The 23,210-nt window shown below is 41.6% G+C and overlaps 1 protein-coding gene and 1 pseudogene across 2 annotated transcripts in view, besides 1 other annotated feature; both read left to right on the forward strand.

Moving 5' to 3' along the window:
- The window catches only part of BASP1 (brain abundant membrane attached signal protein 1), a 60,012-nt gene that overhangs the window by 11,744 nt on the left and 25,058 nt on the right, over window positions 1–23,210 (forward strand). The window lies entirely within an intron of this gene.
- Window positions 635–714: an enhancer, noted in NCBI's record as "active region_22424". NCBI's record gives its function as "activates an Ori minimal core promoter by ATAC-STARR-seq in GM12878 lymphoblastoid cells {active_cell/tissue: GM12878}" and the evidence as "EXISTENCE:reporter gene assay evidence [ECO:0000049][PMID:35858748]".
- Window positions 12,045–12,149, forward strand: RNU6-1003P (RNA, U6 small nuclear 1003, pseudogene; annotated as a pseudogene).

Here is a 23,210-nt window from a genome sequence, read left to right on the forward strand (position 1 = left end):
CCCTTCTTGCTTAAATCAAATCACCTTGTTGAAATTTAATGCTGTGACTAGCAATGTATTCTTTGACCATATCCTTGTTTCCAGCAACAAATACTGCCACGTTAAGGGGAGAAGGAAGTGATGGATAGAGGGACCAGTTGGCAGATTGGGACACACGTACAAACACTATTCCTTTAACTTGCTTTCTTTAGATCCGTAGTTCCTACCTGTGAGTCTCATTTCTGTATTGATCCGCATTGGCTAAGCATACGACTAAAGCGGGATTCTTTGTCTTTTCTTCAGTGAGCTAGCCAGGAATCTCAGAAAAAGGGCAAAGAAGTCCAGAATGATGTAATGCTGCAAAAAATGTTACTGCTGTTTCTAAGGGGAGTGGAAGAAACCCAAGCCAGTTTTGAGTTGAGTGTGCTTCCTGTTGGAAGGGGGTGAGAATTCAGAGATGTATACCTATTAAAAAAAAAACAAAACTCTTAGGATATCACACAGCGTGGCAAACCAGCAAGCCCTGACCTGTTAGCAGTTGTTTGCATAGTTTACCAGGTAGAGAAAGCATCCACAGATAGAATCAAATGTTTGAGGACACTAACGTGCACTGTGGTTAGTGTGAGGTTTAACTGGCTGGGGACACATTTCCACTTAAATCTGATTCTGATAACACATTTAACTACTTCCCTAGCTAATTACACAGTTCCAGGCTTGAGAGAGGAAAAGGCACCTGTGAGCAGTGGCATGTCTTGTTAAATAAGGTTTGAAAACCCTTCCGAAAAGGAAGAAATGGCTGTACTTGGGGACGTTTGAGCATAGTAATTGTGCAGCCTTGCTCCTGGCTGAGGGGAGGGGAAAGAAAGCCCTTGGTTTCTGCTCCAAGAAGTGTTCAAATTCCCCTTATGTGGGCAGAATTTTTGGTAAGTACAATACAGGAAGCAAAACTGCATTGTTCTAGGTCAGCAGTCAATGACCTATTGTTTCTGAGCCCCTCTGTTCCCTCCTCACTTTGTGTTCAGGGGACGAAAGCCCAGAGCAGGAGAAGAGGAAGGGAAGTCTGGGAGAGGCTGGGAAGATGCACCCGCATTAACACAAGTTGGAGAGGCACCAATGCTCTCCTCCTGTGTCTACTCAGGCTGCCATAACAAAATAACAGATGGGATAACTTAACAAAAATATATTTTTTCATAGTTCTGCAGGCTGGAAGTCCAAGATCAACATGTTGGTAGGATTGGGTTTTTTTTTTTTTTTTTTTGATGGAGTCTTGCTCTGTCACCCAGGCTGGAGTGCAGTGGCACTATCTTGGCTCACTGCAACCTCTGCCTCCCGGGTTCAAGCAGTTCTCTGCCTCAGCCTCCCAAGTAGCTGGGATTATAGGCGTGTGCCACCACGCCCAGCTAATTTTTTTGTATTTTTAGTAGAGATAGGGTTTCACCATCTTGGCCAGGCTGGTCTTGAACTCCAAAGTGCTGGGATTACAGGCATGAGCTACCGCACCTGGCCCAGACTTGAGTTTTCTAAATCAGAATGGAATGATCCTGGGGAAGCTCATTTTAAAATCTCCTACCCAGAGTGGCAATGGTAGAGAGCCCTTCTTGTTCTAGACAGAAGAGTTGACCAGATGCCTAGGCCACTTTAAAATCCTATTCTAGCATCTGTGCTTTCTTTTAGGGATTCATTAGACAGACTCTTAACGGTGGAACAGATTTTACTGGATAGAGACTTGGGGTTGAAGACAGAAGGCAGGGGCTTGAATAGAAGCAAGTGCAGGAAGAGTGGTGGGGGTTTTGACAGAAAGTTTATGAATCAGTGGGACACCGAGGAAAGGGAAGTGTGTGTCGGGAATCATGGAAATCCTCCATGACTATAGAAACCAAGGCTAATGAATTTTGGGGCCTTTCCAAGCAATAAAACAAGTAGTGATACTTACAGGGATTCTTTTGAGGGGCATTCTCAACAAGTGTGGGTGTGGGTAAGTCTACACTTAACCCTTTTGAGAGGGTCCTTTTTATTATTATTTCATTTTATTTTATTTTTTGAGACAGGGGCTCGCTCTGTGATGCAGGCTGCAGTGGTGTGATCTCATCTCACTGCAACCTCCGCCTCCCGAGTTCAAGCGATTCTCCTGCCTCAGCCTCCCAAGTAGGTGGGATTACAGGTGTGTGCCACCATGCCTGGCTAATTTTTGTCTTTTGTTTTAGGGGAGATGGGGTTTCGTCATGTTGGCCAGGCTGGTCTCCAACTCCTGACCTCAAATGATCCACCCGCCTTGGCCTCCCAAAGTGCTGGGATTACAGGCCACTGCGCCCAGCCCGAGAGGGTCTTTTTAAAACAGTTTACGACTTTTAGGCGTACCCTGTCAAGTAATTCAGTTATTGCTTTCCTGGCTCAAATTTAAGGTCACATTACGTTAACTCTGGCAATACAAATATTGCCTCATGAATCCCCAGTGAAATTGAGAATTAACAATTTAATTTTACTACACTAGATAAACAAACCACTGGTCTTAAAAATAATTGAAACGATGCTGTTTAATGTCTTTTATAACAACTTTCACTGAATTGTTTTCTACATAAAACATAGGATGTAAGTTATTGTAGAATTTAAAAATTTTAACTCTTAAAATTTATGCAGTGTCTATTTTCAATGCAATGTCAGTGAGGACCTTTAGCACTCACTTTCCTGGTAGATAGCACCTTCTTCCAATCATGCCAGAAAACTAGGCTTGTCTCCTGGAATTCCCCATATGGCCTCCTTCCTGGGTAGTGAAACTCACATATGTCCATTTCCCTCTACTTGAAGCCATTAATCTAGTGGAAGCTTCTATTCTCTCCTGGATCACTGCCCTAATACTCTCCTAAATCCAAGCATGACATTCCTCTGCTTAAGATTTTAGGCCTAACTCTCCATTAAACCTGGAATAAAACACCGGCTCTCAGCATGTTCACCTTCTATTTTCGTCTCTTACCTCCGTTCCTACACACTCTCTCACCCACCCTCTTCAGCCATACCAACAGGCTCCCAGGTCTCCCAGGGCTCCAAGCTCATGCCTACTGCTTTTTCTGCCTGGAATATTCTTTTCCCCACTGTTGAAGTTACTCCTAGTTCAGATCTCAGCTTAAATGTCACTCTTGCAAAGATGTTCCCACACCTCCTGGCACTGGGCATTTTTGTCCCTGCATTTGCCAGAATTGATGAGATTATGTAACGTCTCTGCTCCTCTAGATTAAAACATCCAGGAGGCAGGGATGTGTCTGTTTTGTGGACCCATAACAGTGCCCTATAACAATTTCTGATCCATACCAAGCACCCCATGTCTGTTCAGTGTTGAAGGTTGTCTACAGTACATTATGTTCATGGAGAGCACGTGTCTTCTGAACATCGCCTTTGGCAGCTGAGATGACTTCCATAAATGGGCCAAAATTTCACCTCATCAGTTGTGCTTACTATGAAGATGAATAGCTGATGAACTCCAATTACAGTAATTATTCTGTTTCCAGGCAATAACCTTAGCAGTAGTTGTTCTAAAGCCCTGAGACATTACAAGTAATGAGTACTGATGGCTCATGCATCTGAGTGTCCTCCCAAGGTAGAGTCCGAAATGAAAAATGAAGCTGTGTATTATTTGAGGGAGACAAATAGTATTACATTGTGGGAACCTTTCAGAAACACAACACGATGAGTGAAAGCTGAGGATGATTGTGGTTACACTCCTCGTCTGTCCTTCCAGGTTATTGAATGCTTTTGGTCTGCTTTGGATCAATCATTATTGAACAACTTAACTGAATGCATTTTAGTAACAGCCTTTGTGAAGCTGCGAACATCAGGTCCCTAGAAAAGCAGGTGGCTTGAAATCTTTACACATTAGTCAATTATAAACCTAATGAAGTAAAAACGAATTTAGCTCTAATTCTGCGCTGTGACTACTTACTCTGCATCGTGAGTTCTACGAGGTTAGGACCTTGCTTTGTTCATCTTTGGATGTCAGTTTCTAGCACCTAACCGAACCTGTGGTCCAGTAAAGGGCTGGATACGTGGAAGGGCATGTTTCATGGTCATGTGACATCATGCTGTGCAAATAAGGCACATTTCAGAACGCTGTCCTTTACTTTCACATCCAGGAACCAGCTTGTAACGAACCTTTGGCAAACATCACCGTGGATTTTTCTTTTTCTTTTTTTTTTGGAGGAGGAGGTGGGGCACAACTAAGACATCATTTGTGATTTACTCCCCCTCCTCTTCCATGTCACATACCTCTTAGATGGTCAACATTCACCTTCTGCTGTCTCATTTCTGAGACATGAGACAGCCATCGGACTTAGTTTTAACTAGGATTATTAGAAATATTTTTGTGTCCATCTTGAGATCTCTCATCAGATCAATGTCTAGTTTTCTTTTGCTGATTCTTATTGATGGAATTCTTATTAAATAAAAAAGTTTGTAGCTTTTCACAATGGTATGAAATTGATTTCTAAAGTAATCTGTAGTTAAATAATAATGCAAGATTCCAGTAAGCATGTCTAGTTCTAGCAATACAATTTACTCATTCCAAAACATTTCTGGATGTTGATCCTTTATTTGCAAAATTTTTATTTTCATAGGCTTCTGGTTTGCATATTAAAACTATAGTTGTAGTTGAGGTGATGGTAGGCGTCTTTATTGTCTATACCTGTGAGCTGGGTTGAAATATAAGATATTCTCATACCATCTCTATAATCTATGCCATAAACACTTGGCACTTTATTAAATCAATACTTGGTCTGAAGATTGTCTCATTTTAAATGAATTCAGCTCATGAATTGGCCAGTGGCATCCTCTTCAGCTGAAACTCCTATATCTCCTTCCCCTTCTTTGTGTTCCTCCCCTAACATACAGCTGATACTCCCTGGGTAAGATCTGAAGGAGCTGGCTGTGGGTCATCTAGTCCAGAAGGCCATGTCAGTGTTATTTAAATCAGGTAGTAGAATGGGAAGGGCAGTTTGCAATTAATTTTTTATCTTAATGTTTCGAGTCTCTAGTGCACCATACTGCCTCCTGGTTTCTCACAGACCTACTGTATGTTTTGTTTGGAAGCCTTGGCTCATCTTGTGGGTTGTGTACTTAGCTGGAATGACATGGTATCGATGGTTGAGGAGCAATTTATGACACAGATGAGTAATTAGGTGACTGATACGCCTTTTGATGTGTGTTTCCAAGTAGATGATATTTTCTTTTCTTTGTTTTTTTTTTTTCAACATTCTGATATGATTTGCTAGTGATGGTGATGGTGTCATTTTGGTTTCAAAACTGGAAAATACAGGCCGGGCGCAGTGGCTCACGCCTGTAATGCCAGCACTTTGGGAGGCCGAGGCGGACAGATTGCCTGAGTTCAGGAGTTCTATACCAGCCTGGCTAACATAGTGAAACCCCATCTCTACTAAAAATACAAAAAAATTAGCTGGGCGTGGTGGCACACGCCTGTTGTCTCAGCTACTGGGGAGGCTGAGGCAGTAGAATTGCTTCAACCCAGGAGGTGGAGGTTGTAGTGAGTTGAGATCGCGCCACTGCACTCCAGCCTGCACGACAGAGTGAGACTCAGTCTCAAAAACAAACAAACAAACAAAACAAACAAAAAACAATACTGGAAAATACAAACAAGCCCAAGGAGTGATTGGTAGATGTTTAGAGTCTACCATTTCTCGACTTCAGGAAATGTCTGTGTGTATCTCAGTCTTCTGCTATTGTAGGCACACATCATACTTCAACTGTATGAAGATTATTCTATTCCTGCTCTATAAATATGTTATTGGATTGGATGAGCAAGATATACACTTACACATTTGAAGCCGTAAGTAAAAAAAAAAATTATATAGTTAAAAGGTACAAATAATTGCTTTTGTGATGAATTTGTTCTTTAAATGAAACATCAGTGGCATTTGTTCATGTAGTTCTCAGATAAAACTTCCTAAAAGTGGTTCAAGTGATTTCAAAATGCCAAGAATATGTTGCAAACTTGTTTTTTTGTATACAAATGAACAGCTGACATGAGGTTTTTCTACCATGTGAATGTGACGTGGGAACATACAAACCACACTAAAATATTGCAGAATTGATGTTTGTTTATTGATGGAGTTGGGAGACGCATCTCCTTTAAGTAGCTTACAGTGGGTGAAGGCAAACAAGGAAATCAGTAATTACAGCGAAGCAAATGTTGGTCCGTAGATACATGGGGTAGAGATATAAACAGCAGATAGTCATTAAGTTTACTACTCCGATCAATTATATTCTTTTTCTTCAATCTGTCCCTAGATCCACCTCTTTTGCCTGACTAAGCCATGTGAGATATTCCAGTGAGATATTCAATTGGCTATTATTTAAAGAGTTTTATGTGAATATCACTGTAGAGAATATGGAAGAATTCAGCATCGATTACATTTAGTTTAAAGGTCTTAATCACTAGATAGAAAAGAGATTTACACATCTTAAATTTCCATTAAAAAGCAGGCATTTGGGGATTAGAAACTGAAGGAAAAGATTTCCAAGAGTAGCTAGTTCTTAAAACACAGTAAGAATATGCTTTAGCTCTTGAACACAGTGTTTGTAGTTACTGTCAGACTCCTTGGGGAAGTGTCTTCTGCTGGGGCTCTCACCTGACAGGCTAACTGCATTAAGATGGGCCACTCAGCTTGAGAAACAGGAAGAATTGCTGTTGCTCCCGTCTGCTATTTATGTTTTTCTTTTTTTTTTTTTTGAGACTGAGTCTCACTCTGTCACCCAGGCTGGAGTGCAGTGGTGCGATCTTGGCTCACTGAAAGCTTCATCTCCCAGGTTCACGCCATTCTCCTGCCTCAGCCTCCCGAGTAGCTGGGATTACAGGTGCCCGCCACCAGGCCGGGCTAATTTTTTTTGTATTTTTAGTAGAGACGGGGTTTCACCGTGTTAGCCAGGATGGTCTCGATCTCATGACCTCATGATCAGCCCACCTCGGCCTCCCAAAGTGCTAGGATTACAGGCGTGAGCCACCACGCCTGGCCTGCTCTTTATGTTTTTTCATATGAATTACATTTCCTTACATCCCTATTCAGATGTCGACGTTACTTTTGCTCAAAAGTGCTCCTTTCTCTTGACTCCTGAGTTGCAAATAGCTTACCAAGGTAGCTGGGACTCTTGACCATGATGTTTTTTAAAATGAAATCTGTCAACAAATGAAAGACAGGATTGGTAACTAGTATTTTATCATTCCTCCAGCCTTCATCCTCCAGCTTGATTTATACTAACCACCATCTGAAATTGATGATTGTTTCCCATGACCCCACAGGGAGATTCCTTGGATGTAGGAACTCTGCCTGATTTTTGTTTTCCTAGACCTTCAGACACTACTTGGCCCAGAGTAATTGCTCTTTATGAATCACTGCTTTAGTCCAAGCTTGTCCAGTTCTCTGCCCAGGACTGCTTTGAATGTGGCCCAACACCAGTTTGCAAACTTTCTTAAAACATGAGACTTTTTTTTTTCTTTTTTAGCTCATTAGCTATTGTTAGCGTATTTTATGTGTGGCCCAAGACAATTCTTCCAGTGTGGCCCAGGGAAGCCAAAAGATTGGACACCCCCACCCTTGCGTTTAGTCTTTAAGACTATTCTACCTTGGGGGAGAAAAGCAAAAATGATTTCTTATTACACGTATTTAAACCAGTATTTACATTTGTAGGGATCTTGGGCAGGTTATCCAGAGAGCGAGTTTCTTTTCTTTTTTTTGGGATGGAGTTTCACTCTTGTTGCCCAGGCTGGAGTGTAATGGCGTGATCTCGGCTCACTGTGGCCTCTGCCTCCCGGGTTCAAGCAATTCTCCTGCCTCAGCCTCTGGAGTAGCTGGGATTACAGGCACCTGCCACCATGCCTGGCTAATTTTTTGTATTTTTAGTAGAGACGGGGTTTCGCCTTGTTGGTCAGGCTGGTCTCAAACTCCTGACCTTAGGTGATCCGCCTGCCTCTGCCTCCCAAAGTGCTGGGATTACAGGCGTGAGCCACCGCGCTCGGCCGAGAGCTAGTTTCCTGATTGATAAAATGTTCACTGTTTGTTCATATCCTCTCCTGTGTAGTTAGATGGCTACTGAATATATCCTGAGAGCAGGTCCTAAGAGTTTATTTTTCATGTTATTGTTGGAAATAAAAACCCAGAAATATTTTAATAATAGGAATTAAAGATATGAAGACCCTGATATCTGAAAGCTGAGTGGTTCAAATATGGTGAGCAATGCACTCTTAACTAGACCCATATCTTAAGGGAAAAAAATGTTTTTAGTACTTTTCTTGGTATCTTCTAATCTTCAGAAAAAAATTCTTAATAGGCAGTCGATGTAAATAAAACAAAATTCTGTATATTTAAAAAGCTGCTTGCGCTACTGTGTCATTCCTCTGGAATTTTCAAAAGCTGAGATTTTTCTGTATACTTTGAAAGCTAATGAAATCTACCAGCCCACCGGGTAGTAAACAACCAAGAATTCTTGATGGAGGTATTGTAAAGAAAGGTGATAAGGTGGCTGGGCATGGTGGCTCACGCCTGTAATTGCAGCACTTTGGGAGGTCGAGGTGGGCGGATCACGAGGTTAGGAGATCCAGACCATCCTGGCTAACACGTGAAAACCTGTCTCTACTAAAAATACAAAAAATTAGCTGGGCGTGGTGGTGGGCGCCTGTAGTCCCAGCTACTTGGGAGGCTGAGGCAGGAGAATGGCGTGAACCCGGGAGGCGGAGCTTGCAGTGAGCCGAGATCGCACCACTGCACTCCAGCCTGGGCGACACAGCGAGACTCCGTCTCAAAACAAAACAAAACAAAAAAAAGAAAGAAAGGTGATAAGGCTATCTAATGAAGGACCCAAAGAACTCTCACTGAGCTCACCCAGAATGCTTTTCTGGATTAAAGCACAGACTGAGAACCTGTTCTTAACATTAGTGACTTCGGTATGGCTCATTTTGAAGAAAGAAAATTGCCTAAATCTATAGTTGAGCTTGCACACATTACAGGTCTCTGGAAATAAGATGCTTAAACAGGTTCTATAATCTGGTTCTTGCTAGGTGAGTGTCCCCTGACATTGCTTTTTTTTTTTTTTTTCCGTGATGGAGTCTCGCTCTGCCACTCAGGCTGTAGTGCAGTGGCTCACTGTAACCTCCACCTCTTGGGTTCAAGTGAATCTCCTGCCTCCACCTCCCGAGTAGCTGGGACTACAGGCATGCACCACCATGCCTGGCTAATTTTTGAATTTTTAGTAGAGACAGTGTTTCACCATGTTGGCCAGGCTTGTCTTGAATTCCTCACCTCAAGTGATCCACCCACGTCGGCCTCCCAAAGTGCTGGGATTACAGGCATGAGCCACTGTGTCCGGCCCCCTGACATTGCTTTCTAAAGTAAGATTACCTGTAGTTCTCAGTGTTCGCCAAGCATGTATGAAACACAACGTATGTTAAGAGGCTGTTTAATTACATAAATGCTTATTTGGGGGATTCTTGTTCTCAGTGGCCTTCTCTCTTTTGGATGGATATACACAGTTTGATTGGCACTCCTATTGACACTTTATTTGGTTTGTGACTTGTTTGTCTCGGTGCCTTTCTATTAATATATTTTTTCTATTTAAACTACCCTCTTTTTTTCAGTACAGCACTGGACATTTTCTTTGAAATCTTCCAGATTCATTTGGTTGTCTTCCTCATCTCAGCTGTCTTATGCAGGAAAAGTGGTCACTGTTCAGTCAATTCATTCTACGTAGCTGGCTATCTGAGTTTTTTTTTTATCGAAACCAAAATAAAACTTAAAAGAAACAGAAGAAGCTGAGTCTCCCTCCCCTCCCTTTCAACTAACACCTACTGATGTTTATCTTGGAAATAATTTGACGTCTATTTGATGAAACCTGTAGTTAAGTGTTAATGGAGACTAACGTCAAGCTTCAGAACAGTGAGGAGAAACCTTTAGTATTGTGTGTCTAGCATTTGATGCAAGTGCTCTGTGGAAACCATGGAAGCTGGGATAAAAATGCTCGCCTGATCCCCAGATAGTCTCATCTGAATGTACTGAGGCATCACCGCATTCATTCCAAATCTGAACCTGACCTACTTTTCCCCTTCATCTCCTGCCATCTCTTCCCTAGTTTGTCATCTTCTTTTCCAGCACCACGAATGGTTCATGCTTTCTGATAAATATCTGATGTATGGCATCAATTATATGACTATTTAAACATGACTCATAGTGAACTGTATTTAAATATTGATATGACTCCATGCGTTTTCAAAGAATGTGTGGAATGTTCTTTTTGAGTGTCAGTTATTAATCATCTGTTTTCCGTTCAACTTTGGTTATCTTCAGTAAATTTTAATATCTTTCCCTTCAAGAGGACTTCCCAGCTGTCTGATCAACGGGTAGGAAAGGACAGTTGGTTCAGTGCTTGCTCATGTTAGCCCTGTAAGAAGTCAGCTCAGTTTAGTTCATCCAATAGCTGGGGAATAAAACCACACAATTCCCTTCCTTACTTGATATCAATCAACACTTGACTAAATCTTACATCCTGTCTTCAGCTGTTTTTTTTTTCTTTTTTGAGATGGAGTCTCGCTCTGTCACCCAGGCTGGAGTGCAGTGGCATGATCTCAGCTCACTGCAACCTCTGCCTCCCGGGTTCAAGTGATTCTCCTGCCTCAGCCTCCTGAGTAGCTGGGACTACAGGTGCCCGCCACCATATCTGGCTAATTTTTTGTATTTTCAGTAGAGACGGGGTTTCACCATGTTAGCCAGGATGGTCTCGATCTCCTGACCTTGTGATCCGCCCGCCTCAGCCTCCCAAAGTGCGGGGATTACAGGTGTGAGCCACTGCACCCGGCCCAGCTCTTTCGTAAAGAAAGCCTTGGCAAATGTGGAAATTCTCCCTATTCACTACGGTAAATAATTCTTGAGGTTACTAAACTCAGTATCTAAATAAAACAGATCAGTGTGTTAGTACATGGAACAGAAGGCCATATTTTTGGTTATAACCGTTGACCCCACACTCACCCTGGGGTCTTGGTGTCAATGTCAGGATGTGTTTAAATACCCTAGGCTGTCAATCTTGTAATACAACTTTGGTTATCTTTGTTCTAGAGCCTTGCAAAGTAAAGCTGATCCTAGTTAGGACCCAGTTAGGAATTTGGATATATGTGTTGTATTTGCATGTGATACTGCCCTTCATTTGAAAACACAGGCTTAAATTAGTGAAGTAGAACTCTTTTAGTCCAGATTACCCCCAAAATCTGTGAATTTGTACTAATTCAAAATCCTCTTTGCTGGTAACCGTTGTAATGAGGTCTTTGGAAATTTTATCCTGGTAGCATGGAGGTGTTGCTTCTTTTCATTTGTCTAGTTTTGTAGTCAGAACTGTTTATAGAGATGTAATTTTAAAGTGACCCTATGCTATGGTTTGAATATATGTGTTCCACCAAAATTCCTACGTTGGAACCTAATGCCCAGTGTGATGGTATTAAGTAAGAGCTGGGGCCTTTTGGGAAATGTCGAGGTCATGATTATTCCACCTTCACTAATGGGATTAGTGCTCTTATAGAACATGTTGGGAAAAAAATAAAAATAAAGATAAATAAATAAATAAATAAATAAATAAATAAATAACAGGTTGGAGCCCAGGAGTTTGAAGCTGGGGTGAGCCGTGATCATGCCACTGCACTCCATCCTGGGCAACAGAGTGAGGCTCTGGCCGGGCATGGTGGCTCACGCCTGTAATCCCAGCACTTTGGTAGGCCGATGTAGGCAGATCACCTGAGGTCAGAAGTTTGAAACCAGCCTGGCCAACATGGTGAAATCCTGTCTCTACTGAAAAATACAAAAATTAGCTGGGCGTGGTGGCGGGCACCTGTGATTGCAGCTCCTCAGGAGGCTGAGGCAGGAGAATCACTTGAATCTGGGAGGCAGAGGTTGAAGTGAGCTGAGATTGCGCCATTGCACTTCAGCCTGGGTGACAGAGTGAGACTCCTCTCAATAAAATAAAGTAAAATAAAATAATAAAATAAAAAACAGAGTGAGGTTCTGACTCTTTAAAAAAAGAGAAATAATGTGCCCACTTCATCAGCACATATACTAAAATTGGAACCATATAGAGATGAACATGGCTGCTATGCAAGAATGACAGTGCAAATTTGTGAAGCATTCCATATATTTTGGAAAATAAAAAAGTTGAAGGGAGTGCCCTAGTCCCCTTTTGTCTTTGATCTTGGACTTCCCAACCTACAGAACTGTGAGAAGTAAGTATTGATTCTTTATAAATTACCCAATCTAAGGTATTTTGTTAGGGTACCTACTAAACAAAAAGATAAAACTCTTGTGATTTTGATCTTAAGTTGGAAACATAAAACCATCGTTACAGAGAAGGCAAAACTAGGCAAAGATTTATTTTTGCAATGGCATTTAAAAATATTTAATAGTTTCTTTTAATTATAACATTACAAAATAACACCTTGTAGTCTGGTGAGCACAGGCTTGCCTAGTGCTTAGCATGTGCCAGGCAGGCCACATTCTAAGCTTTACACAGATTGACATTTTCCTTTTTTTTTTTTTTTTCTTGAGGCCGAGTTTTGCTCTGTTGCCCAGGCTGGAGTGCAGTGATGTGATCTCGCCTCACTGCAACTCCCACCTCTCAGATTCAAGCGATTCTTGTGCCTCAGCCTCCTGAGTAGCTGGGATTATAGACATGTACCACCAGTCCCGGCTAATTTTTGTGTTTTTAGTAGAGATGGGGTTTCGCCATGTTGGCCAGGATGGTCTTGAACTCCAGGCCTCAAGTGATCTGCCTGCCTCAGCTTCCCAAAGTGTTGTGATTACAGGAGTGAACCACTGCGCCTGGCCCAAAGATTGACATTTTAAAATACAGCAGCTAGGTGGGGTGGATTCTATTATTATCCCATTGTACAAATGAAGAAACTGTGGCACAGAGAAATTAATAATAGGTTACGTAGCCAGTGTAACCCAGAACATCTTAGTTCATGTTGCATGTCTCTCATTTGCTGGAAGCATATCAGTCAACAAGAAAATTATTGTTTTGCTTCCAGTTTGAGTAATGTTCCTGTGACTTCTTTAAGTGCTGTATATTTGCTGCATTTGCTGGGAGTGAACGAGGCCCTGAAGCTTTCGTAGATCTGTGCAGGAACTGGAGTGAGCCAGTGTGTGCCACCATGGGTGTCCCTCGATGTTCTCTCCTGTCCCTTCAACTGTGCTCTGCAGGAGTCAGACCTGTGGGGACAGTTCACAGGAACAAAACAGAAGCTCCAACCAAGAGCTGCAGGATTTAAGGACAAGGCTGCAAAACAAGTACGTGGAGCTGGCACGCAAACTCAGGGCTTTCTGAAACACAAACTTCAGCATTTAATTAAATGGGGGAAGGAAGGAACTCTCAACCGAGATACTGAACTGCACTGTGTCTCTACAAAATGCGAGTGTCCCACATTTTAAGGGTGAATGGATATCTCTAAAAGAAAACACCTCTCTCATTCACGTCTATTCTGTATGCTTTCTTGATTGGCTGAGGAAGGGGTGAAATCATGCTCTCCTTTCATTCCCCTCCTTCGACTAGGAAGGCGTTCTTTGATGCACCATTAATAGTTTTAGCAATTACTCTCAACCATAGTGAATGTGTAACTCCTGTTTTCATTTAAATTTGATCAATGACTCAGTTGTTATTAAAATGCAAGAAATAGTAGAAGTTTTTGTATATATATACCTGTGATGAGTGCGGGTGAGAATGGTCCTGTGGTTTTATTTCTCTTTTTTGTTCGACTTTATTTGTTAGATCAGTTTCATGTTCACACGAAATTGAGTGGAAGGTACGGAGGTTTCCCATATAAGTCTTGCGCCGCCCCCCACCCCATGCATAGTTTCCCTCATTATCAACATCCCCCAGCAGAATACGTCTGTCACAATTGATAAACTTGCATTGACACATCATTGTCACCCAAAGTCCTTTGTTTACATTAGGGTTCCCTCTTGGTGTTGTACCTTCTGTGAGTTTGGACAAATTTATAATGACACGTATCTCCAATTAGAGTAGCATAATTTTATCTCTTTATAAATGCTCAAGTCAGGGCTTCTTATTTTAATTTAAGGGGGATTAAATGATCGTAAGTGCATTTGTTACATCATTGTGCTTATTAATAATCTGTTTAAAGTATCTGTAATGCTTTGTGTTATAACTTTAAACAACAGAAAATGATGTTATTTGTAACGGTACATCCTTGCTCTGCGTGCTAATGTCCTTGAGGAGTCGAAGTAAGTCTAGGAAAAAAAAAGTCAACTCAGTTTAAAAAAAAAAAAAGGTAATCGTAAGCATTTTTTTTTCCTTCTAAAAGGATTTCTTTGTGTTTGGGGGCAGGGAGGACATGTCTTGAAATAAGTGAACATGTGCTTGTAAAATGTTTTTTAAGTGTTGTCGTCCCTGTAAGTCTGTGCCTTTCTGAAAATCTGGGTATGAAACCAGATCATGTGTGTAAAGGGAAATGGAACATTCTGGAACACCTGTAGTCTGTTGCCCCCAGCAAGTTGACATGCTAACATGCTAGGTGACAAAAGGGCATCATGATAAAGCCACTGAGACTTAAATTCTTGCTTTTTTTTTTTTTTAAGAGGGAGTCTCATTCTGTCGCCCAGGCTGGAGTGCAGGGCCGCGATCTTGACTCACTGCAACCTCCACTTTCTGGGTTCAAGCAATTCTTGTGCCTTAACCCCCCGAGTAGCTGGGACTATGGGCGTGGTGCGTACCACCACGTCCAGCTGATTTTTGTATTTTTAGTAGAGACAGGGTTTCGCCACGTTGGCCAGGCTAGTCTCGAAGTCCTGACCTCAGATGATTTGCCTGCCTTGGCCTCCCAAAGTGCTGGGGTTACAGGCATGAGCCACCACGCCCGGCTCCCTCCAACCTTCTTAACTTCAGTTTCCGGTGTCTAACTTGACACTATTGATGTCTGCCTCTTGCTATGAATTAGCAAAAGGTGAGGATTGGCCAGGCACAGAGTAATGTCTCCATAAGGGTTGGCTGTTCCTGCCATTCTCCTGCCTGTTCTAATCTAGATCTCTGTTTCCTTTATAGCATTCACAACACATGGTCATTATTTTATTTGTGAATTTGTCTTACTTGTTTTTGGATTGTGTCTCACCATATGATCTTGTTGTTGGTGAACTTGTCTTATTTATGTGTGACTCTCACCATTTCCCTTCCTAGTCTGTCATGGAAGCTCTATGCCTCCAGACCCTGGGTCTGTCTCCCTAACACCCTGCACCTTGGTTCTCACCGAATGCTTGTCCACTGCCAGCAGAAAACAAAACACTGCTGTGTCCCTGCAAAGCACTGCAGCTCTTGCCAGAATGTTCATCGTGTGTGACTTTTCAAGTGCAATAAGTCACGGGTACTATGTGAAATTGGATAAAGATAATTTTTTTGCAAATATATCCTTACATTGTAAACTATCAGCTAGGGTTGAAGTTTTCTAATTGATATTTTAGGTTCTTAAATATTGGAAGATAACTTTTAATTTGGTGAGATTCTATACATGAACATATTTCCAATGTATACCTTCTTGATAAGATTATACGTATTGTACATTCTCGGAATCTGGAGGACACAATAATTAAGTGAAAGGTGGCTTTAACACCATGTGTGCTTTTTCAGACAAGTAAATTAGTCCATGCCAGTGTAATGGGATCTGCTTATAAGTGATCTACTTTAACATCAGACTTGATTCTCTATGGTGTCACTTTTTGTTTGATTTGTTTTGTGTATTTAGGTAACAATGATATCAAACCTCAAACATAAAACATAATAGTGTTTTCCAGTATCAGGAAAACAGATTCCTTAAGGATCCCTAATGCATGAGTGTCTAGGGGCCTAGGTTCTAGTTAGTAAACTCCACTAAGCTGAGGATCTGAGACTGGGCACGGCCAGAGGAATCCTGGGAGTCATCGTTTACAACTCTGCATTTTAGGGGTGAGGGAGCTCGTGACAGAGGGTCTGGGTGTGACCCACAAGCACACTGCCATTGTTTACATCGTCAGACTTAAGAGTTCTGTTTTGGCCTTCGTGGGACTTGATAGGAGGGAAGGCATTGAATATATATTTGTGTTTATGTATATCAAAGATACTATAATTGTAGTGTTTTTTTTTTTTTTTTGAGACGGAGTCTCGCTCTGTTGCCAGGCTGTAGTGCAGTGGTGCGATCTTGGCTAACTGCAACCTCCACCTCCTGGGTTCAAGCGGTTCTCCTGCCTCAGCCTCCTGAGTAGCTGGGACTACAGATGTGCGCCACCATGCCCAGCTAATTTTGTAGTTTTAGTAGAGATGGGGTTTCACCATGTTGGCCAGGCTGGTCTCATGATCCACCCGCCTCGGCCTCCCAAAGTGCTGGGATTACAGGCGTGAGCCACCATGCCCAGCCGATACTATAATTATAGTTTTAAAAAATGTACTTAAATATCAGTGTTGAGCCGGGTGCAGTGGCTCACGCCTGTAATCCCAGCACTTTGGGAGGCCGAGGTGGGTAGATCTTGAGGTCAGGAGTTCAAGACCAGCCTGACCAATATGATGAAACCCCGTCTCTACTAAAAATACAAAAATTAGCTGGGTGTGGTGGTGTGCATCTGTAATCCCAGCTACTCAGGAGGCTGAGGCAGGAGAATTGCTTGCAGCTGGGAGATGGAGGTTGCCGTGAGCTGAGCTCACACCATTACACTCTAGCCTGGGCAACAGAGTGAAAGTGAGACTCCGTCTCAAAAAAAAAAAAAAAAAATCAGTGTTGAAATGTGACATTTTTTTCCCTGTAGTGGCTGTCAAATAATTCATATTTAAAATTATTTTTGCTTTCTCCCATTTTGAAGATGGAGTTTTATGTTATAATTGTTGATATTACAACAGACATCTTACAAATGCTAAATCTAAATGCCAAATATATGATATTATTGTATTCAGGAGACCAAATCTATCAATACCACTTTGTGGTTAATTTATTTTTAAAAATAAACACTCTTACCTCAGCAATTTAATATGAGATTAATGATAATAAATTTTATAGGCCTTTAAAAATTAGTAGGCTCTGTGTAGAAAGTTACTTTTTTTTTTTTCTCTAGGCAGAAAATCTCAGTTTTTACTGTTTGGCTTACTTTTTTAAAAAACAAAAACTTACAGAGAAAAATTGCTGGAGTGGCTGAAGGAAAAATGGAGAAAGGGATAAAAGAAAGATGGAAGAAGAAATTGAGATCACAGTGAATAAATACATTGCTCAGGATAACTCAGGGGGTAGCAGAAGCCCTGGGATTCAGAACCAAGTCTGTATAATGCCTGAGCTTGTGTGCTGGCTTTCATGGAGTCAAAATGTAAAACTAGGGGACAGTAGGGCATTACTACTAATAAGTCGAATAATACCAACGCGTGGATAGAGAAAAAAAAATCAAGAGAATTCCAGGAAAAAGAAAAAAACACCACGGTTAGATGTTTTCTAGAATTTTCTATAATTATTGGAGAAGGTTTCTCTGGGGTATTTGGAGGAGTTCTTTCAGCCAGAAACAATAGCCACAACTTGTCCCAGCTGTGGGATGGGCTTGGCCTCTTTAAAGGACAGTTGAGACTCTCTTGACAAGAACCCAACACTGTAAAATAAAAGACCTGGCCGGGCGCGGTGGCTCACGCCTGTAATCCCAGCACTTTGAGAGGCCAAGGCGGGTGGATCATAAGGTCAGGAGTTCGAGGCCTGCCTGGCCAACATGGTGAAACCCTGTCTCTACTAAAGATAAAAAAAAAAAAAAATTACCTGGGAGTGGTGGTGCGCACCTGTCATCCCAGCTACTTGGGATGCTGAGGCAGGAGAATCGCTTGAACCTGGGAGGCAGAGGTTGCGGTGAGCCGAGATGGCACCATTGCACTCCATCCTGGGTGACAGGGTGAGACTGTGTCTCAATAAATAAATAAAAGACTTTTGGAAAGGTGGAGACTCTAGACTGCAGGAGATGTGGCCGCCCCGAAAACTGGCTGAACTTTGTTAAATACAACTCATGATTAGAGGAATGAATAGTGCTGTGTTTTAACTTTGTAAAATACAACTCATGATTAGAGGAATGAATAATGTCAACTCACATCTCTGTGACTAGATGCAGGCTTCTTAGGATATTTGTAACTTGAAGAAATCTGGAAGGACCTCATTCTCTAATTGCCCATTTTCCCAATTTGCTTTACAAATCCTTCTGTGGAAAGTCTTTTTGAAAATAGCATTTTTGCTCCCTCTTAGCCTCTGGGGTTCTGAACGCTTTGGCAGTGACCATTGAGAATCACCCTGCCTTCCATCAGTTACCTTGTATCACCTTATAAAAGTCATTTGGCCGTTGCAGTGGCTCACACCTGTAATCCCAGCACTTTGTGAGGCTGAGGCCAGCGGATTGCCTGAGTACAGAAGTTGAAGACCAGTCTGGGTAACATGGCGAAACCCTGTGTCTACAAAAAATACAAAAAATAGCTGGGCATGGTGGTGCACCTGTAGTCCCAGCTACTCCGGAAGCTGAGGTGGGAGGATTGCTTGTGTCCAGGAGGCAGAGGCTGCAGTGAGCCGAGATTGCGTTGTTGCACTCCAGCCTGGGCGACAGAGCCAGACCCTGTCTCTAAATAAATAAATAAATAAGTAGATAGATAAATGCCATTTGGATTTCTGAAAGCAAGGTTTGTCTTTTAAATGTCAGTTGGATTTCCGAATGTTGGATTCTTAAAGTTCTGAACATGTAAAGTATAGGCCACTGGATCTCAGAGCTTTTTATCCAGGTGCCCAGAGGCTGAGAAAATGCCCCATAGGTTCTATAAAGGACATGGATCCTGACTTCATACAGGTCAACAACTATGTTACTGTGTTTTTATCTGGTTTAGAGGATGGGAAACCCATCAGTGTTATTATGCCTTCATTCAATTATGGAAGAAATCGGTTGAATACCAGACTGCCCAATGAATGTAGTTTCTGTATATTTTCAGGCTTTTAGACTGATCTGAAGTTGTGCCTCTATGCACGAATGCTGCTTCTTCAAAAGGTGCCAGTGGCTGGGGGTCAACTTTGATGTGGCCTATAAAGTTCCTGGCCCAGCACTTAGGCCTGCCTTTCAGGACATAACCTCTCAGCTGGATTTAAGAAATAGCATCTCTTTCAGTGTGAGGCAGCGGCAGGAATGAAGTGTGTTCGTGTCCGTGTGCTGGCGCTTCGTATGTACATTTTTGTTGCGTCTTTAACTTAGAAAATCAGTAGACTTTATGAGTATCAGAGGATAAATGTACTGCAGAGGATGAGAAAATATTTAGCGTTTTTGTGGTCTCTCTTCAGCAGTGCCTCCCTCTTTCCTGGAAAAGGGCATTGGTGACCAGAGAAATTGTGATTCTGTTTGCATCCTAGGCCACCATGGAGTTGACTTATGTGTAGACTGGCCATAGCCCAGGGTCATCCCTCCCCTCTCTGTCTTGTTCTCAGTTGCTTGTCATCATTTCCATTCAAACACTTGAATATTCCAGATCTGGGATAGTGGGCAGATGGTTTCATGCTATTCAATATTCTAGTAAATATCTTTTCAATGGTTACCTGTAGTCAGTCACATTGTCAGAATTCTCACTTCAGCTATACGTGTGACAATCCCTTGGCTCACACTTAAATTTAACCCAGTGCTTGTAAACTGTGGAAATTAAAGGACCTAGTTGATACCAAATGTCCGTTATCTGGAGTAGCCTCTGTCGGTAGCTGGATGCCTTCATTTGATGTGAAAACAATTGTGTCATAGTTGAAAATAAAAGAATGTTTTTCAGCATGTGCTGTTGCTGTGTGCTGGATAAGACTTTTATAATTAAAAATTTCCCCTGAATGTCAATACATATATGGTATTCATTTTATAGTGGACTATGCTGTGTTACTTTAGAGAGGCTACTGCTGCAGAACCATCAGAAAATATCTGTTTCAGCCCCAATTGGACATGACTCTCGGGTATGCTGTTGTTTAATAATCATTACATTAGACGGTTCAATCTTTATCCAAAGATTGGACATTCTCATTGCATACATTTGAGGGTTAATAAAACCAAGCTCAGGCACTTCGGTATTCTTTTAAACTCTGAATGATGTCCCCTGTAGAATGTGAATGATTTCCAGCCCGTGTTTACCATGTCCTAAAACACGCATATTTATGGGTGCCTACAAGATGGCACAGAATGAATCAAAACCATAATCTCTTAAAAAATATGTACCACACTGCAGTTGTGCTTGTTGATAATTTAAAAAGCACGTTTACATGTGGTGCGCCTATTCTAGGTCTCCTTGATTTCCTTCTTCCCTTTGTACCACCACTCCATGGGCTGTAGCATCCTTTAAGTATGGAGGCCCTGCTCCATGTCATAGTAACCATCAACACACACTCCCATCCCCAATTAACTGTAGTTTGCAAAATTATATATGTGTTGCATTGTAGAGGCTCATTGGCATAAGTATTCCTGTAGACAAACACTTATTAAAATCTAGAGGTCTTCTTTTTTGTATTTTGGTGGCACTATTTTATTTTCTGAGATCTCAAACTTTTACACTTTCATGGCCCTTGTGAGCTCAGACCCCCTTATTCTGTGCCTGCAGAGCCCAACGCAGGAACCGTCCCTGTTGTTGGCCTTGCATTGATGGTGGGCCTGTCCTGTGTGGGGTGCAGTAAATGTGAGTCTTCCTGCAGCCTTCTTGCTTTCATCCAGAAGCAAATTTGGTCAAAACAAGAAGCCATCTGCTCCTCTCTTGGGGATGCCTGTAGCAGCAAGTCAGGATTTTTATCTCCTTGGATTGCAACATTCAGGGCCTTCTGCGTGGTAGATCCCTACTGAGCTTTGGGGCCAGCAAAAGTCTAGATGGGTATGATTAACTGGTGAGGAATTTCAGAAGCCAGATGCAGTTACTGTTCCAACCATGAGGCTTTTCCAGTCACATTGAGTCAATGCTAAGGCATTTTCCTGGCATACACTTTTTTTAACCCTTCCTAAAATCACAAAACCAAAGGGTTTTAACCCTTTGAGTTTGAGATCTCAGAAAATAAAATAGTGCCACCAAAATACAAAAAAGACCTCTAGATTTTAATGTGACCACAACCTTTTTACCTTTTTTAAACTTCAATTTAGACTCTATTTTTTTTCTATAAATGATTCTGTCTGTAGTAACGTTTATCTATCTTTGCATCTTCCGACTTTATTAATTTTTCTTCAACCCACAACTTGATCTAAGTCTTTTTCTTGACCATTTGTAAGGCTTCTCATTCTAATGTGTTTTAAGGATTTCCTTTTATTTTTACCTATTGCTGACACCCTTCTTGCTAGTGCTGTTTTGTCCACCTATACTGAGGTACACCATTGATTTTAATTTTTTTTTCTTCTTGTTTTTAAGACTGGAGTCTTGGTCTGTCCTCCAGGCTGGAGTGCAGTGGTGTGATCTCAGCTCACTGTAACCTCCGCCTCTTGGATTCAAGCAATTCTCGTGCCTCAGCCTCTAAGTAGCTGGGGTTACAGACATGTGCCACCACGCCCAGCTAATTTTTGTATGTTTTTTTTAGTAGAGATGAGATTTCACCATGTTGGCCAGTCTGGTCTCAAACTCCTGACCTCAAGTGATCCACCTGCCTTGGCCTCCCAAAGTGCTGGGATGATAGGCGTGAGCCACCGCGCCCGGCCCTGATTTTAATTTGGGGCATATTCCACTTGACTTTAAAAGGTCGCTTTGTTCTTTACAAAACTTTGCACTTCGTAAAAAGTGTGTTCTTTGATGAACTTGTCTATTCTTTTCTGAAATTTTCAGCATTGACTTTATGGTAACTATTAACAATCAGTCTAATTTTTTGTTACTATTTATTTTTTACAGCATCAATATATAATTTATGTGGAGAAGTCAATGAACAGACTTGGCATTTTTAAGTGATTCTATACTCCAAATACTGGTCATTGAGAAAAGTTTGTTTGAGAGATGATCATAGGGGAAGGGGTCGCATGAATATTGTATCGTCTAATGTATTGAAGTTTATTTTTATTTTTATTTTTATTTTAGTTTTTTGAGACGGAGTCTCGCTTTGTCGCCCAGGCTGGAGTGCAGTGGCCCGATCTCGGCTCACTGTAAGCTCCACCTCCCGGGTTCATGCCATTCTCCTGCCTCAGCCTCCCAAGTAGCTGGGACTACAGGTGCCCACCACCATGCCCGGCTAATTTGTTGTATTTTTAGTAGAGATGGGGTTTCACTGCGTTAGCCAGGATGGTCTCGATCTACTGACCTCGTGATCCGCCCGCCTCGGCCTCCCAAAGTGCTGGGATTACAGGCGTGAGCCACAGCGCCCGGCCAAAATATTTTAACCTGAATTTTTGGTGTTTGAAGAGTGGTTTTGAGCGATCTACACGCTGTTAGATTTAGATTTTGCTGCATAGAACAGAAAACCTAAAACTAAAATGGCTTACGTGAGAGAAAAGGTTAACTCTTCATATGTTAAATTCCAGAAATGGGTTCTAGGGCTGATCTGGTAGTTGAGGGGTGTGATCAAGTTTCCAGATTTCAGATATCCAAAATACCCTGATTTTATCATTACACATTGTATACAAATATCAAAATATCACATGTACCCCCAAAATATATAATGTGATTATATGTCAATACAAAACCATTAAATATCCCAAATACCCCGATTTTATCATTACACATTGTATACAAGTATCAAAATATCACATGTACCCCCAAAATACATAAAATGGTTATACATCAATACAAAAGCATTAAACATCCCAAATACCCTGATTTTATTATTACACATTGTATACAAGTATCAACATATCACATGTACCCCTAAAATATATAAAATGATTTTACATCAATACAAAACCATTAAATATATGTTAAAAAGATTTCAGACTCATCTCTCAGCTCTTCCTTCCACAGTGTTGGTTTCTGTGGAAGGGTCCAAACAGCGGCTGGAGCTCCAACTGTCTTTGTCTAGCAGCAGGAGGAGGTAGGGAAGAACAAAAGCTTTCTCAGAAGGCCATGCAGTATTTCAGCTCATATTTTGTTTTCTAGCACCTAGCAGTGGAGTTATGAACATATTTTAGTGGAACATATTTAGTGGAACATAAGCATTGGATGTGAGGGTAGCGGTGGTGGTGGTGAAAGTTGGTCCAGAAAGACTCCCACATTTCTGGCTGGGCGATGGGGTGGATGTGGTTCTA

The sequence above is a fragment of the Homo sapiens genome, chromosome 5 (assembly GCF_000001405.40).
Source record: "Homo sapiens chromosome 5, GRCh38.p14 Primary Assembly".
NCBI lineage: Eukaryota > Metazoa > Chordata > Mammalia > Primates > Hominidae > Homo > Homo sapiens.